Source organism: Homo sapiens, chromosome 10 (genome assembly GCF_000001405.40).
Source record: "Homo sapiens chromosome 10, GRCh38.p14 Primary Assembly".
Lineage (NCBI taxonomy): Eukaryota > Metazoa > Chordata > Mammalia > Primates > Hominidae > Homo > Homo sapiens.
In genome coordinates, this window is record NC_000010.11 from 1,684,163 (window position 1) to 1,699,123 (window position 14,961).

The 14,961-nt window shown below is 45.2% G+C and overlaps 1 protein-coding gene across 1 annotated transcript in view, besides 1 other annotated feature; it reads right to left on the minus strand.

Moving 5' to 3' along the window:
• Positions 1 to 14,961, minus strand: part of ADARB2 (adenosine deaminase RNA specific B2 (inactive)) — a 560,213-nt gene that overhangs the window by 506,850 nt on the left and 38,402 nt on the right. The gene's annotated exons all lie outside the window — the stretch shown is intronic.
• Positions 11,094 to 11,258: a silencer, noted in NCBI's record as "fragment chr10:1737450-1737614 (GRCh37/hg19 assembly coordinates)". NCBI's record gives its function as "represses an EF-1alpha promoter that drives an FKBP-Casp9 reporter gene in an ReSE screen in phorbol 12-myristate 13-acetate-treated (for megakaryocytic differentiation) K562 erythroleukemia cells {active_cell/tissue: K562(+PMA)}" and the evidence as "EXISTENCE:reporter gene assay evidence [ECO:0000049][PMID:32094911]".

A 14,961-nucleotide genomic window follows, 5' to 3' on the forward strand; every position in this document is an offset into this window, starting at 1 on the left:
AGGTGTTAAGTCCAAAATAACGTTCCTCTGAAATCCATGACAGAAAAACAGACTTCTTTCTTAGAGAAGTTTTCTGAGAAGATGGTGGAAAAACTAAAGACATCTTTCTTAGCTACTAAATGTTTTCTTAATGCATTCAAACTTCCAGGGCCTGTACGAAAACCTAAAAACACTTTTTTTTCAGAACTCAGAGAAACATAGAATGTGAAGTGTTTGTTATAAGATTCAAAGTTAAAACTTTGTGGTGAAAAATGTATTTCTGTATGCACACACACACATATATATTCTCTATATCTGGAATAACATAATAATAGTCCCTGGAACTTTTCAAACAGAAAGAATGAATGGGGCACTTTTCTTAAGATATTTCTGTCTAACTGGATTGTAGAAAGTTCTAGATTTCCTTTTTCTCTTGTCCCTTAACTAAAGGTTTATATGTCTCACCAAATGGCAATAGTGTTTTAACCACTTTTTAGCCACTCTGAGCCCTTCATTTTGATTATTTTGTAAACCCCAAACTGTTGTTTTATTTTTAATTATTAAATGGTGCTGAGACAGGTCAGGTTCTGGCAAACGGGAAAAGCTGATTTCACCAAAAGATTTTGCAGTTTGAAAAGTTGCGATGGAAATGCTTCATAAATGGGCAGCAGAGCAAACCCAGAAGCTCAGGAATGCGTGAGTTCTGAGTGTGGGTTCTTATCCTTGTCTGTGCTCACAGGTGGGAAGTCAGAGAGGACCTGGAAGCCAAGGATAGTGCAAGTTCCGAGTGGGGGCCTCATCCATGCTCATGAGTGGGTGGTCAGAGTGGACCCAGAAGCCAAGGATAGTGTGAGTTCTGAGTGTGGGTTGTCATCCTTGCTCATGGGTGGGTGGGGACTGTGGGATGAGGAGGAGGGAGAAGACCGGACAGGACCATGTCGAGTCTGGAGGGCCAGCAGTAATGCAGTTTAAGGAATGAAGCCAGATTCTCTTTCTATGAGCAGGGCATGTCTGCCAGCCAGCAGCCCGGGGTGCGAGCTGTGTGAGCATGTGTGTTGGTGAGTGCGTGAGTGTGTGTGTGAGTTTGTGTGAATGTGTGCCTGTGAGGAAGATAGAGACAGAGAAAGAAGGACAGAGACACAGCGGCCACCTGAATGAGCACACCAAGATCAACTTGACTCCCTGGGTGACAAAGTCAATCCTCAGCACCGAGCAACACGAATGACTCCATACATGCGATTTCATGGGTACAGCTTCACCTTTCCCCCTTCTTCTCTTTCCTGTGCCTTGTACCTGACACATGGAATTCTAAATAACAGGCAGGTACCGAATCCATCACAGAGTGAAATAATATATTTGTAAAGGTGCTGAATCCTTGGGAAAATTTAGAATTTTCTCTGGAACAAAATTCTATAAATTCTCATTCCCTCATAAAATGGAATGTAAGAAATAACTCAAAGCCATTGTTAGGTTTTTGCTTACTACATTAAAATGTGGACTGACCTTTCTCACTTTGCATACAGCACAAAGTCAACAGAGAAAAGGGAGGCGACGCAGGAGGGACTCAGATGTTTCTCAGCACGTCTTTAAAGAAATGAAGACACCCCAAGGGTCCTGCCCAGACCTCTCCTGGCTGGAATCAAGGTCCTGATGGAGATCATCATGGAAAATGCAGCCAGCACTTGTGCCCCATGGGGCTGGGCTGGGGGAACAAGGACTTCAGCCCTCCAGTGGGGGAGGCTGAGTATGTGCAGGGCGGACGTGGCTGGGTGGCCTCTGCCCGGGACGGATGGGCTGCAATGTGGACTCTGCCTGGCTTGGACACTCCCACACCCACTCCAGTGGCTCAGCCTTCCCGGACTGGCTTCTGTTAATCTGTTTCCCATTCTTTTCCTTTTAAATTGAATCAGGCCTGAGAGGATAAACACTTCCAAGTGAAATAAATCTTGGTATTTGAGGGCTATTAGGCTTTTCACCTGCTTCTTCAAAAAGTCTCTACAAAAACAAAAACAGAAACCCATGGAGGCTGGTTAGGGGAAGCAGCACTTTAATTTCAGGGCGGTGCTGATAGCTGGGCCATCGATCTGCAGGGGCAGGGGATGGGCCAAGGCCTCGGCGGGGGTTCTCTGTGGCTTGGGCCGGCGGTTAAATGAAATGAATGGCTCGGTCATAAACTGGTTGGAATGAATCAATTGAGTCGAACAAGGACAGGATCATGTGCTGGGAGAGTGAGAACCAAATAGGTTTGAAGGAAGCATACCTTGAAAACTACAGCTGCCGCAAGCTCTTGCAATCAGGAAACTGATGAGCAGTTAATTTGTGTGAAAGTAGGGGAAGGTCTAATGGTGGTTGCGTGATAAGAAACAAGGCTGTGGATTGCTGATGGAGCCCATCAATCTTCCAGGAGTAGCCGAACGTTCCCTCGTCACATGAGTAAGGAAACGTACGGGACTGTGAACCCGCTGGGCTTCCGGCACACAATTAGCTGATGCCATGGTGCACCCTGGCTTGTCTCTCTCTGCAAGCATTATTTTGCTAATTAAGTTGTAGACACTTTAAGGTCAAAGGCTCTGTCTTAGACCGTTTTATGTGGTGGGCACAAGAATAATATGATATCACTTATGTTAATTAAGGATACTATTATAAGTATCATATTAACATTAACAAATGTTTATTGTTGATTTCTCTAGCAAATGATCATTCCAAACAATAAATATGTTGAACTTTGACACGTGAAAGTTTCAGCTAACTAATTGTGATCAAAGTCTAAAATGAAGAAATTACATTTTTTTTAACACGTTATTTGTATCCTATGGCCTACTTCCCAGCTGCAGTCAGCACACTGAGAGCCTGAGTCCCTCTTGCCTCCCATGGGTCATGACATTGCCTTTTTTTTTTTTTTTTTTGACAAGTCTCGCTCTGTCACCCAGGCTGGAGTGCAGTGGCATGATCTCCTCTCATTGCAACCTCTGCCTCCTGGGTTCAAGCGATTCTCCTGCCTCAGCCTCCCTAGTAGCTGGGATTCAGGTATGTGCCAACACACCTAGCTGATTTTTGTATTTTTAGCAGAAACGGAGTTTCACCATGTTGTCCAGGCTGGTCTCAAACTCCTGAACTCAAGTGATCCACCCACCTCAGCCTCCCAAAGTGCTGGGATTACAGCTGTGAGCCACCACGCCCAGGCGTGACATTTCTGTCACAGGGACTCCAGAGGTGGCTTCTCCTCCCTGCCTAAGTAAAGGAAGAGTTTCCTGAATTGTGAGTCATCTCGTAAATATGGCCACTATTTGCATATTCTTACACAGCTATCTTTGGGACTTGATTGGATCTCAAAGCTAACATAATAATAAAGCTGCGATCCAAAATTCTCAGACTTAAACTTTGGCACCACCAAGACAGCCTCATTATTCTCTTTGATTGATTTTATAAGAGATTAAAGTTATGCATTAGATTCAAAAATAAATTTTTAATAGTGCAAACGCATTAAATTATTTAAATAATCATATTTTTTTCTGCAAAAAAAAAAAATTGAGGACAAGGATTTTCCTGCCAAGAGTATAAAGACCCCCGGGTCCAAGGCTGGAGACAGCTCAGCCGTGAATTGTGATGAGGATTCAGGGCCGGGCAGGAGGGGGCTCAGGTGCCACAGGAGTCACACCCTTGCTGGCCGGGGGGGAAAACCACCCACCATGTGCCTCCACTCCTTTCCAGATTAATGAAGCTTGAAGAGGAAAATATTAAAGTTGCCAGTGCGTATACAGTGACAGTTCTAAACGGAGCAGTTGAAATGTTTGCTTGTCACATATGCCGTTGGATTCACAGCCTACTTTTAAAGGCTCTGAGCAGATGGCACTTTGCTTATAATATCATTTCTCCTCAAATATAGGGTAAAGGAATGCCTCAAAACACAATTATTTTAAGTAAAACAATATAACCAAAAAGAAGCCTTCGTGTTGTCCCATTGTCTGGGCAGCAGGATGTGAGGGAGTCACTGTGCTGATTCGTATTTTTGGACATAAACAGCCAGTGGGGACCTGGGGGGTTGAGTCCCAGTGAAGCCTGTGGGCTCTTCTGACCACCCTGTCCCACTGTCAGCCTCACACCTCATGGTGCACTCAGCCTGGCTGCACCCTTGGCCAGGGCTGGGACCCCAGTGGGAGCTGCAGCCTTGGGCATGGGTGGGCAGAGTTGGGGACATCCTCGTTGCTGCCCTGACCTCCCCTGCTGTTCCCTGACCCGGTTCATGTGGGTCCCATTCCAAGCTCCAGACCTTGGGATGGGCAGTGAAGGGCTGGAGACCCTGAGCTGCCATATTCCCCCAGACAACACTCAGGGATGGCTCCGAGGGCAGGTGCATTTCTCACTGAGATCTGCACCAATGGAAATGGAAGGTACATTGGTGGCTTGAAAACATCACTGTGGCAGGAAAGCAGCAGCCCAGCGGGGTCCCTCCCCGCCCCCCGCCTGGCCTTCTGACTGTCATGTCACACACACTCAACATCTCATCCAACCCCCTCCTGCAAAAAATAAAAAGATAACTGAGGGTGATTGCTCATTAAACGTAAAGGGAACTCCTACTGTACTGGCTCAGTTTGAGAGGGGAATGGTGACTTACGTTAGCGCTGACTCAACCCTGACCCTGTCTCATCACTGACATCACAAAGCCTTTTTATACACCTTCTTGGTTTTTCTACTTCTGTTACCTAAGCTGAGAGACAGAGAGCTCTTTCCAAACATTTTAACGTAAAAAAGTAGTAATGATTACAAACCAAAAAACATTTTCACAAAGAATACAATTATATATATTGGAAAATAAGTCATGTTACTTCCTCAGTACATTTTGCAGGTGATCAGTGACTATCTGAGGCTGGTGATGCAGGGGTAAGAAGAATTTCCCAAGACAGGTGCCAGCAAAGAAAGGCAGATTTGTTAGAGAAAGTAGGAAAATATGCTGCAAGAAAGCAATGGGCAGGGCAGCAAGAGAGGAACTGGCTGCCAGGAGATGAAGGCTTGCTGGGGATTTTATAGGATGGTGCTTGTGCTGGAGAGGGAAGTACTGATAATGCCCAGGTTGCAGTGAGCTAACTTGCATTTTTCTATCAGCTGAGGCATTTGATGAGACGTTGAATTGTTTGATGATAAATTAGGCACAGGAAGATTGTAGGTGAGTTACCTGCACAGGAGGGCTACGTGCCCTGGACCATGAAGAGAGGCAGACTTAGAGCTTATCTGCTTCCTCTGTTTCTTTTCCTTGGTCCTGCCAACCTGACTTGTTTTCCCTAATTAGGACTCCACAGTACCCCTTCACCCAGACCCAAGTTCAATAATGTCTGTGTGTCCCTCTCTGGGGTTCTTTACACACATAGGGGCATCTGTATTCATGCGATATTTGAATAAACAGACATCACCACAATACCCTCAACAACACTTCCTAGAGAGCATCCCACCTCATAGACCTGCCTATTGTTTTGTGTGGACATAAAATATTCCATTGTGATGGTGCCCTGCAGTTCACCTAACTTGATGGGTGTTCAGGCTGTCCACAGCAGGCTTTTGCTCTCAAGAAATACTGCAATAAACATCCTTATTCAAAATCTAATTTGCTGCCTATACGCATATGTGTGCAAATATATGAGCCATTTGCTAAGATGGACTTGTTGGGCTAGAGATACATGGATTTCAGATTTTGATGATGTTAGATTGCTCGCCAAATAACAGTCCCCTCTACAGTTACGTAGGGGTCTCTATTTTCATCTCTGAGAAATTTAAAAAATCGTACAATTGATGACTCCACTATTAAAGAAACAATGATTTCAGAAAGAAAGAAATGTGGGGTTTTTTTGTTTTTGTTTTTTGTTTGTTTTTGTTTGTTTTTGCCAAGACTGCTCACCGAAGTCTTTGCTAACATCAATAAATTGCTATGGGAAGAAAAGAAAGCATTGCACATTAAGGTGATAGCTATTCTTGGTCAAAAGCCACTATAAAAAAGCCAAGTGAAATGAGAGATTAATTTCCATTGCGAATTTGCAGCTAATGCCACAGGGCTGTGCAGCTTGTTTCTCAGCTCGTAGGAGCACATGCTCAGCTGAAGTTTAATGATATTTTCTTGCACAAGACACAGTACCAGAAAGTATTGTTTTGATACCTAATTAAATGTGAACAAGCCGTTTTGGATGTTAGCAACTTATGACATATCTGCTTCCAGATATTAAATACAAGTTGTCGTGTGTGGGTGTAGAATTGCTGATCCAAAGCTTTTGTGTTAAGAAATAAAAACTCTGCATTTGGTCAGACAGGGTGGTGAGTGTGGGGTCCCAAGCAGAGAGCCGTGGAGCTCTGAATACTTGTAATGATGCAGTGACAGGCATCAGAATTCCAGAGGTGATTACTCGTTGCCAGTCCTTCTACAGTGCAAGGGGTTCTTGAGGGCTGGTGAAAAATAACTGGAAGGAGAGAAAGGCAGATAGGAGGGAAAGGAAGGCAGCCCCTGCTCTCCTCCTTGCTCCTTCCTGTCCCCATGCTCAGTGGAGCACTGCCCTGCTTTGCACACCCCACGTCGAGGAAGCCCAAGGCCTGCTGACTGCACCCCGTGGATGTCTTCCATGATCCGATCCCTCTGGGCCGGCCCTTCCTGTCACCCCCTCCCCAGCCTGCATGCACACTGTCATTCGGCTTGGCCGGGTCTCCCCGATCCTCCTCCCTACTCTTGCACCTTGACAGTCCTTTCTCCGGGGACCACCGCGGGTCTCATCAAAACGCGCATCTATCCCTGTGCCCGGCAGTCTGATGACGCCAGGCAGGTTTGCCCCTGCCTGCCTCTCAACCCCACGCTGTGCCCCTTTCCTTCTGGGTGCGGGTGACCCAACCCCTCTGCTATTATGGGCTGAATGGTGTCCCCCCAAATTCCCATGCTGAATCCCTAATCCCCAGGACCTCAGAAGGGACTGTATTTGGACATACCACCTTCAAAGAGGCAATTAAGTTAAACTGAGGTGGCTGAGGTGGGGCTTCATCCAATAGGACTTGGGTCCTGATAAGAAGAGGAGATTGGGGCACAGACATGCACAGAGGGATGATCCTGTGAGGACACAGGGAGAAGACACCCTCTACAAGCCAAGGAGAGAGGCCTCAGGAGAAACCAACCCTGATGACATTTTGACCTTGGACTTCCAGCCTCCAGGACTGTGAGAAAATGCATTTGCATTGGTTAAGCTGCCTGGTCTGTGGTCTTTTGTTATGACAGCCCCAGAAAATGAATACAATGGTTTTTTACTCCTGGAACTCATTTCTTGTGTCTCAGAGTCTATGTCCTTCTTCTCTGCACTTGGACCTATGACATCCAAGCAGAGACTGCTGGCTACAGGCTAGGACACACTCCATGACATGCACAGCACATCTCACCTGTGATGTTTAATGCTGACTACATGTTGAAGGGGTAACAATTGCATCTACTGTTTACTGGGCTAAATAGAATGTACTGTTCACACCAACTTCACGTACTTTTCCTTTTCACTGTGGCTCCTAGAATCATTTCAGGCCACACATGGCTCCCTGTGTGCTCACTGGGGCTGGCTCAACTGCTTGCTCTGGTTCGTCCCGCACCACCTCCCACCACATCCCACTCAGAGCCATAATCATCCCTCTGTCTTGCTCAGATATTAGCCCTGATTCCACTTCTGTCCCCTCCAGATAGGGCAGCTGTTGCTGCTGCCTGATCTCAGTCACCTGTGCTCTCTCAGCCTCCAGGTCATTACTAAATGTGTGTGTGTGTGTGTGTGTGCACGCATGCATGTATCTACTACTGGATTAATGTCCACCATTTTAAAAAACATTAAGTTTCAAAGGAAAGTGTGTCTTCAGCGCTCGCTGCTGTCTCCTGATGCACAGCACAGTGCCTGGCATACCTTTAGGGCTCAATAAACAGAATTTTCTTACTGAACGGGTCTGAATCCCATTGTGTGTTCAGTAGTAAAACTGCAGTGAACATTTCTGTCATCAGGAGCAACAGCAAGTGTCTGAGGATTAGAGGTTAGAATTCAGAGCTATCACCTAAAAGCATCACATGGACATTTAAAATTCTCAGTAGAGCATTTTTTCCTTCTAATGAAGCTTTCCTAAACCTGTGACATTGGTTTAATTTGTGCAGGAGTTTCCTCCTTGTATTTGTTTAAATGCCCCCAGAAGCTCGGAAAGCAGGAAGTGGTTTGAAGGGGATTCAGACAAGGTTAGCTGGGGAGGCCGTCACCGGGAGCCTGAGTCCATGGAGTCATCTGTTCTTGGGCCACTTTTAGATTCAGCCTTTGTGGACAAGCAGGGGTTTCCATAGGATTGAGTCCACTGTCCCAAATTCAGCAGGGATAGTTTTTGCTCAAGGCATAGAATGTTAGGAAAAGGCTGGCAGACTACGGAGCAGGAGTGTTTCCTCATTCAGTAGTGACAGCCAGTGAAGGGGAGGAATTGGAGGTCCAATCCACCTGTCAGATGCTTTATACGTTCATAATTAACTGGACTGCTAACAAGGCCTGTCTAAAGTAAACACCTTCTCTGCTTGGCTCCTGAAGGGCTACAAACATTTTTTTTAAAAACAATAAATACATTAATGAATGAATGAATGCCATGGATAACAAAACAGTGGACTGTCAGAATAAGAACGGTCAAAATATGTGCTAAGGTGCAGCCAGGACAGAATTGAAGTCTTTTGATCTCAAGGTTCTATGTTAGACTATTTTAGTTAGCATGTTTGATAAGACTTGCAGAGTTATTCATCCACAAACTTCTGGGCTCACAGAGCTGGCTTTCATAACTCCTGTTCCTCATGCAGCCTCTAACCTATACTGGACCTCCCCACCCTCCAGGTGCTAGTCCTGAAGCCTGGAGTTTTTGGAAGTCTCTTCCCTCTCCAGAAGGAAGGATTTGATGTCATCACTTATACGTGGTGGAACTCATCAGCACCCGTGAGCCAACTCCCTCAGGTGTTTCTAAGCCTTTTATCTCTAATTATGGAACAAATGGCTTTGTCTACTGTTGAAGGCTGTGAGGGCTCCGGGGAGAGTAAAAGCCTGGGGTTTCTGACCTGCAAGGGGCCTTGGCAACAATCCCTACTCAGCGCTTCATTTTCCACATGAACAATCTGAGTCTGGGGAGATTAGGGCTTGTCAAGGCCGCCATGTCTAGCCTTGAGGGCAAACCACTAGGCTGTTGTGTGATGGTCAATGTGGGTAAGAAGACCTGGAGACTGCAAAACAGGACCCCAAGCCACCACCTGGAGCGCTGTCATCTTCTCCTCTCTCGTTTTTGTCATCGTCCTCATATAGTAAAAGGATAAAAATATAACTCAAAATAATAATCTGAGATACAAAATAAATTATTTTTCCTATTGGATATAATTTAGAATTACTTCTTTTCAAAACGACCTGTGATATTGTTTTCCAAAAGAAGTTAATGGCAAACTCACAGATGATAAAATTCTTATAAAGGATACTGAAATTCATTCATTCTTTAATATATTTGACTCTTCCAACCATGGCTACAAATGTGTCAGCTTCAATATAGTGATATTGCCTTGTTTATAATACTAACCTAAGACTGTCACTGCAGAAGCAAACTAGAGAAAAGGTTAAATTAAAAGAAAAATTACTTCAAATTTCTATGGTAGTTATATTGAGGAAACATAAGAAAAATAATGATTTATTGAAATTTCCTTTAAATAATCAATTAGGGCATTGTATAGTGTCTCTTGCAGATGGGCAGGCTGGTCATACAGGAATCCTGGTCCACCCCACAGGGTTTCCCAAAGTGTGTACCACGGAACACTAGTTCCTTGGAATGGCAGGGGACATTGCACAGAGAAATGATTCTTTAGCCAAAAAGCCTCAGTAAAACTTAAATCTTTCTCTAGTAATCGACTTCTTGGAGCCTTTAATATTTTAATCTGATGTTATGTATCTTGTTTGGGTTTTCATCATGTAATTTTTCTGGTTCTTTTGATTATTATTAGAGCAGTTATTATTTTGTTCAGATTTAATTCCAAAGAGTATTTCTCAAACCATATTCTGTACGGTTTTACTACAAGCATTCTCTACACAGAAATATTGATTAAGCATCACATCTTGCTGTGAAATTCAAAGTTTTTGAAATTCATGCTTAAAATAGCAAATTGTTTCATATATTAATTGGAGTAATGTGCTATTTAGCTAATCCATTGCCTTGCAAACTGTCAGGTAGAAGACAATCTCTTCTGAGGGTCACTGGTGTGTATACAATGTGTATGCCTATTCTATAAGCTGGACACTGATTTTTCACTCTTACTTAGTCTTAATTGAACACAAATCAGGGCTTTTAAACTGTACATGCACGACCCACAACCGGTGGCACTTCCTTCCACTAACAATGTGTCTGAGTGAAGTGTGTGGGAAATAAATGCAATGGCCCCATTCAGGGGAATGGTGGGGTCTGACTCACCTTATTCTTGGTCAGTCCCTAGAATAATTAACAATCAACACTCAAATCGATCAATCCTATTGAAGAGATTTTGAAATGAAACTAAAAGTAAGGTACATTTGGACAATTAGAGAAATAGGACAAGCACATTTACGTTTTTTCAGTCCGGGTTTTGGAAGCAGCAGGAGCTGGACAGGCTCAGAGCCGAGGGAGGGAGGGTTATGGGGTTAGGATGAGCAGATGTCTGGGAGTGGGGTCTTCATGACTCACAGCAAAGGTGAGGCCTGTGGGTGGGAAGCAGAGGGGGCACCTGAGCCACGTGCATCCTGGGGCTCCTTTTCACGTGAAGCCTCTGCATGGAAGGTTACACAGCTCCACGCCTGCACCGGGAGGGAGACCTTGCGACTCGCCATGGTTCTCAGGGGCAGCGAGATGAACAGGGATGTGTGGGTCATGGGCCCCCCGTGCCAGATATGACTCCTCTTGGGTTTTGTGCAGCGAGGAGAATGGAAGCCTGAAAACAGCGCATCTGTTCAGCAGACGGTTCACTCACCACCAGCAGCCTCAGATGGTCAGGTCACTTCTTGGAACCTCTGATTCTGAACCCACAAAAACAGACACCAGCTGCCCTGCATGGTGAAGTGAGGATACTCTTCTTCCTGGCAAGAATGGGCTCTGCAGAACCGACCAGGCCCACCGTGTACTTTGAGAACCCCCTTACCAGCGGTGCAGCTCAGAGCAGACAGAGTGACCCCCGAGCCTCAGCTGTTCTCAGCATTAACAGGCTCACACAGCAAGGAGCAGAGCTCACATCAGATGCTCAGTAGTGACGGTTTTCTTCCTTTTACCTCAAGCTATCCACTTTAGGGGTCGTTACCATTGATTCAGTCACTCATTTATTCATTAAGAGCTTATTAAACAATCTCATATATAGACGGTGAGAGTGCTATGGAGATAAAGAGGCAGAGGCAAAGGGCAGGAGCAAAGATCCATGTGTAGGTCTGTGTGTGCATGTATACACAGAAACATGCATGTTTGTGAGAGTGTGTGCATGTATACACATAAACATGCATGCGAGAGCGTATGTGCATGTATGCAAGAAACATGAATGTGTGTGCATGTATGCAAACATACATGTATGTGAGACCATGCATGTGTATGTATACATGGAAACATGCATGTGTAGGTGTGTCTGTGCATACACATGGGTGCATGTGTGTATATATGTACATGTGTTTGTGAGAGTGCATGCATGTGTGTGTACATGTGTGCATCCATGTACACACACATGCATGAGGACACACACATGCATGAGGGCACACACGTGCAGATGTAATTGTGAAAGTGTGCATATGTGTATGCCTGTGTGTGGGATGCACATGTGTATGTGAGAGAATATGTGCATGCATGTGTGTGGGGTGTGCCTGTGTGTATGCCTGCGTGTGTATGTGTGCATGCACATATACATGCACACACATGCATTGTGTATATGTGCATCCATGCATGTCTGTGTGCATATATGCACACACATGTCCATGTTTGCATGTAGTATCACACATGTATATTGTGTGTATGTGTTTGCATGTGTCTGTGTATGCACACATGCATATATGTGTCACGTTTATATGCCTGTGTATATGTGCGTATATGCATGTTTGTGTGTGCACATGTGCATTGTGTATGTGCCTGTTTGTGTGTATGCACGTGTGTTGTGCTTTGCGTTTATATGTGTGCACGTGTGTTTTGTGTTCATGTGCATTGTGTGTGCATGTGTAGAGGCAGTGAGTGAGGTCGTGACAGATTTTATATGGAAATACACACATATTTATGTCTTTTAAAATGGTGGAAATTATATATGATTTCTCCTGTTTTTTTACTTTGGTAGTGATAATATTTATGCTTTAAGCAGCCTTTTATTTCAACCCCCATTCCTAACATTGTGATTAAAGGCCCTTTCCAATTGCTTTGTCCTCTGAGGGTATGTTATCAGAGGTGGTAGACATTTAGGCCTGGCAGCTGCATCCTGTTGAACTCCCAGTGTCCAGCGGACCTGCCCACCTGGACAGGCTGTGCCTCCGCTGAGAGATGAATGCTTCTCAGGCCTGCCCAGGGTCTGGAGCCTGGGTGGTAGCCTCCTCCTGTAGGGCATTCTGCTCAGGACCTGGGACCTGGGGCTGAACTGCAAAGAGGCTAGAGGCTGTGACAAGGTGGATGCAGGTGACCCTTGGCACTTCTGACCCTGTACTCCCTTCCTTGGTCCCAGCCTCCACCAGCTTCTAGAGCAAGTTTGTCCAACCTGCAGCCTATGGGCCACATGCAGCCCATGATGGCTTTGAATGCCCAACACAAATTTGTAAGCTTTCTTAAAACATGATGAGATTATTTTGTGATTTTTTTTTTTTAGCTTATTAGCTATCGTTAATGTTAGTGTATTTTATGTGTGGCCCAAGACAGTTCTTCTTCTGATGTGGCCCAGGGAAGCCAAAAGATTGGACACCCCTGATCTAAAGGTTTTCATTTCTGTTTCTTCTCTTGAATCCACCTCCCTGCTCATCTGGGTGGGGGCTGCTCGGGCCTCTGTGTGCGAACACTGCTGTGGGTCTGGTTATTTGCCCACCCACACACCTAAACACACACATTCCCCACAGCCCTGTGGCAAGAGGGTCAGCCTCTCTTCCGAAAGGAAAATCAAACAAAATCCAGGGAAACTGATGAGATTTCCTTGAAAGCAACATGTTCCAGGTCTTCTCCCCTCTTGTCTTCCTTGTTGCTCAGTTTTCAGATGCCAGCAAGTCAGTAGTGTGAACATTGACTGAACACTGAGCGAGACAGACACAGAGAACACGTGGCTCAAACCTGCCCCATCACTGGAGGCATCGATGCACAAGACGGTGAGAAGAAACTTGGTGAGAAAGAAAAACTAGGAAGACATTGAGAAAGTGAGAAAAGATTCATCTACACAGATCAGCAAAACTCCAAAAGAAGCCCCACAGTTGATACTGAAATGCTGTCTTCTCTAATGAGAAATTGGCTGCTTTGTGTGTCCATCCTGAACCCCAGACAAGGGTGGGTGGGAAGAGAAACCCCACAGGCTCCCTCTGCATGCTCCCAGGATGTGCTGCAGTGTGAGTCCCCGGCGGGCTGACGGAAAAGCCCGGAACCAGTTGGGGCCCGTGACCTGAGCACGGTGTATTGAAGCCCTGATGGAATTCTTCAGTGGATCCTGTCATCCCCCAAATGCCCCGACTCCCTGCAACTTCTCTTTCGACTTGCTTACTCCGTAACCGTGAATTCATCCCTATTTGAAGGTTCCTCTCAAGAAGTACAGCAAGGCAGAAGTCAGGTTACTGGGCTGTGAGGAGCGGTTGGGAATGGATAGTTTCTTATGCAGTTCTCTAAACATTAAACAATAATACGCGACTTTCACCTGTCAGAAAAACTACACACCTTTGTTAGAATGATGGGTTTCCAATGGTTACATATTAATAAATCAACATCTCTACCTCTCCCACTGCCCTCTCTGGCTTCCCTCTTTAGTAGTTACTCACATGCTCCCTGTCCCACGTACCAACATGTTTAATCAGATGGTAAAGACTTAAAACTCCTTTTCTTTTAAAATTGTAGGTGTTGCTTTTTCTCTTTCTTATGAACAGCCTTAATCAAGTTTTCCCCTACACTGAAGATGCCACCCATTAGCAGGTGCGGGACACGGAACATTGCCACCCGTGGAATGAGGAATAGAGCTTGGAGGCCACTCTGACCTTTGAGAGCCACCTTCAACAAAGGCGGTCTCCACAGCCACTGGAGGGGGCTCTGCGACCTCCGATGTCATGCACAGAGCATGGGGGAGAGACATACGCTTCCTCTTCCTGCCTTCCAGACAGCTGAAGATCCCCTTTCTTGTTGGAATAACAATATGTTGCTCATGGAAGAAAAAATTCGAACATCCTCATCCATAATTCCCAGAACATCCCTGGGCTGACACTGCAGCTGGGTATGAGAGACGCATAGGAGTAAAAACTTGATGGAAAAAGCAACTTCTAATGTTGGAAAAAGGCACATCTGTGTGTTGTGTAAAAGGGTAGTTAAAGGTGGAGCAGAACATTCAAAAATAGACTTAATTGTAATAAAAACAGTGAAGGTAGAAAGAGTTGAAGGGGCAAATGACTTTTAAAAAATTTATTATTATTATTTTTTAAATGGCATCTTGCTCTGTCGCTCAGGCTGGAATGCAATGGCATTATCTTGGGTCACTGCAACTTCTGCCTCCCAAGTTCAAGCAGTTCTCCCTGCCTCAGCCTCCTGAGTAGCTGGGATTACAGGCACCCACCACCAGGCTGAGCTAACTTTTGTATTTTTAGTAGAGATTGGGTTTCGCCATGTTGGCCAGGCTGGTCTCAAGCTCCTGACCTCAACTTATACATCCACCTCGGCCTCCCGAAGTGCTGGGATTACAGGCATGAGCCACCATGCCTGGCTGCAAATGACTTTTTTTAAACCTCATTTGGTCAAGGCTGACACTGCAGTGATTTTAAGCGTTAT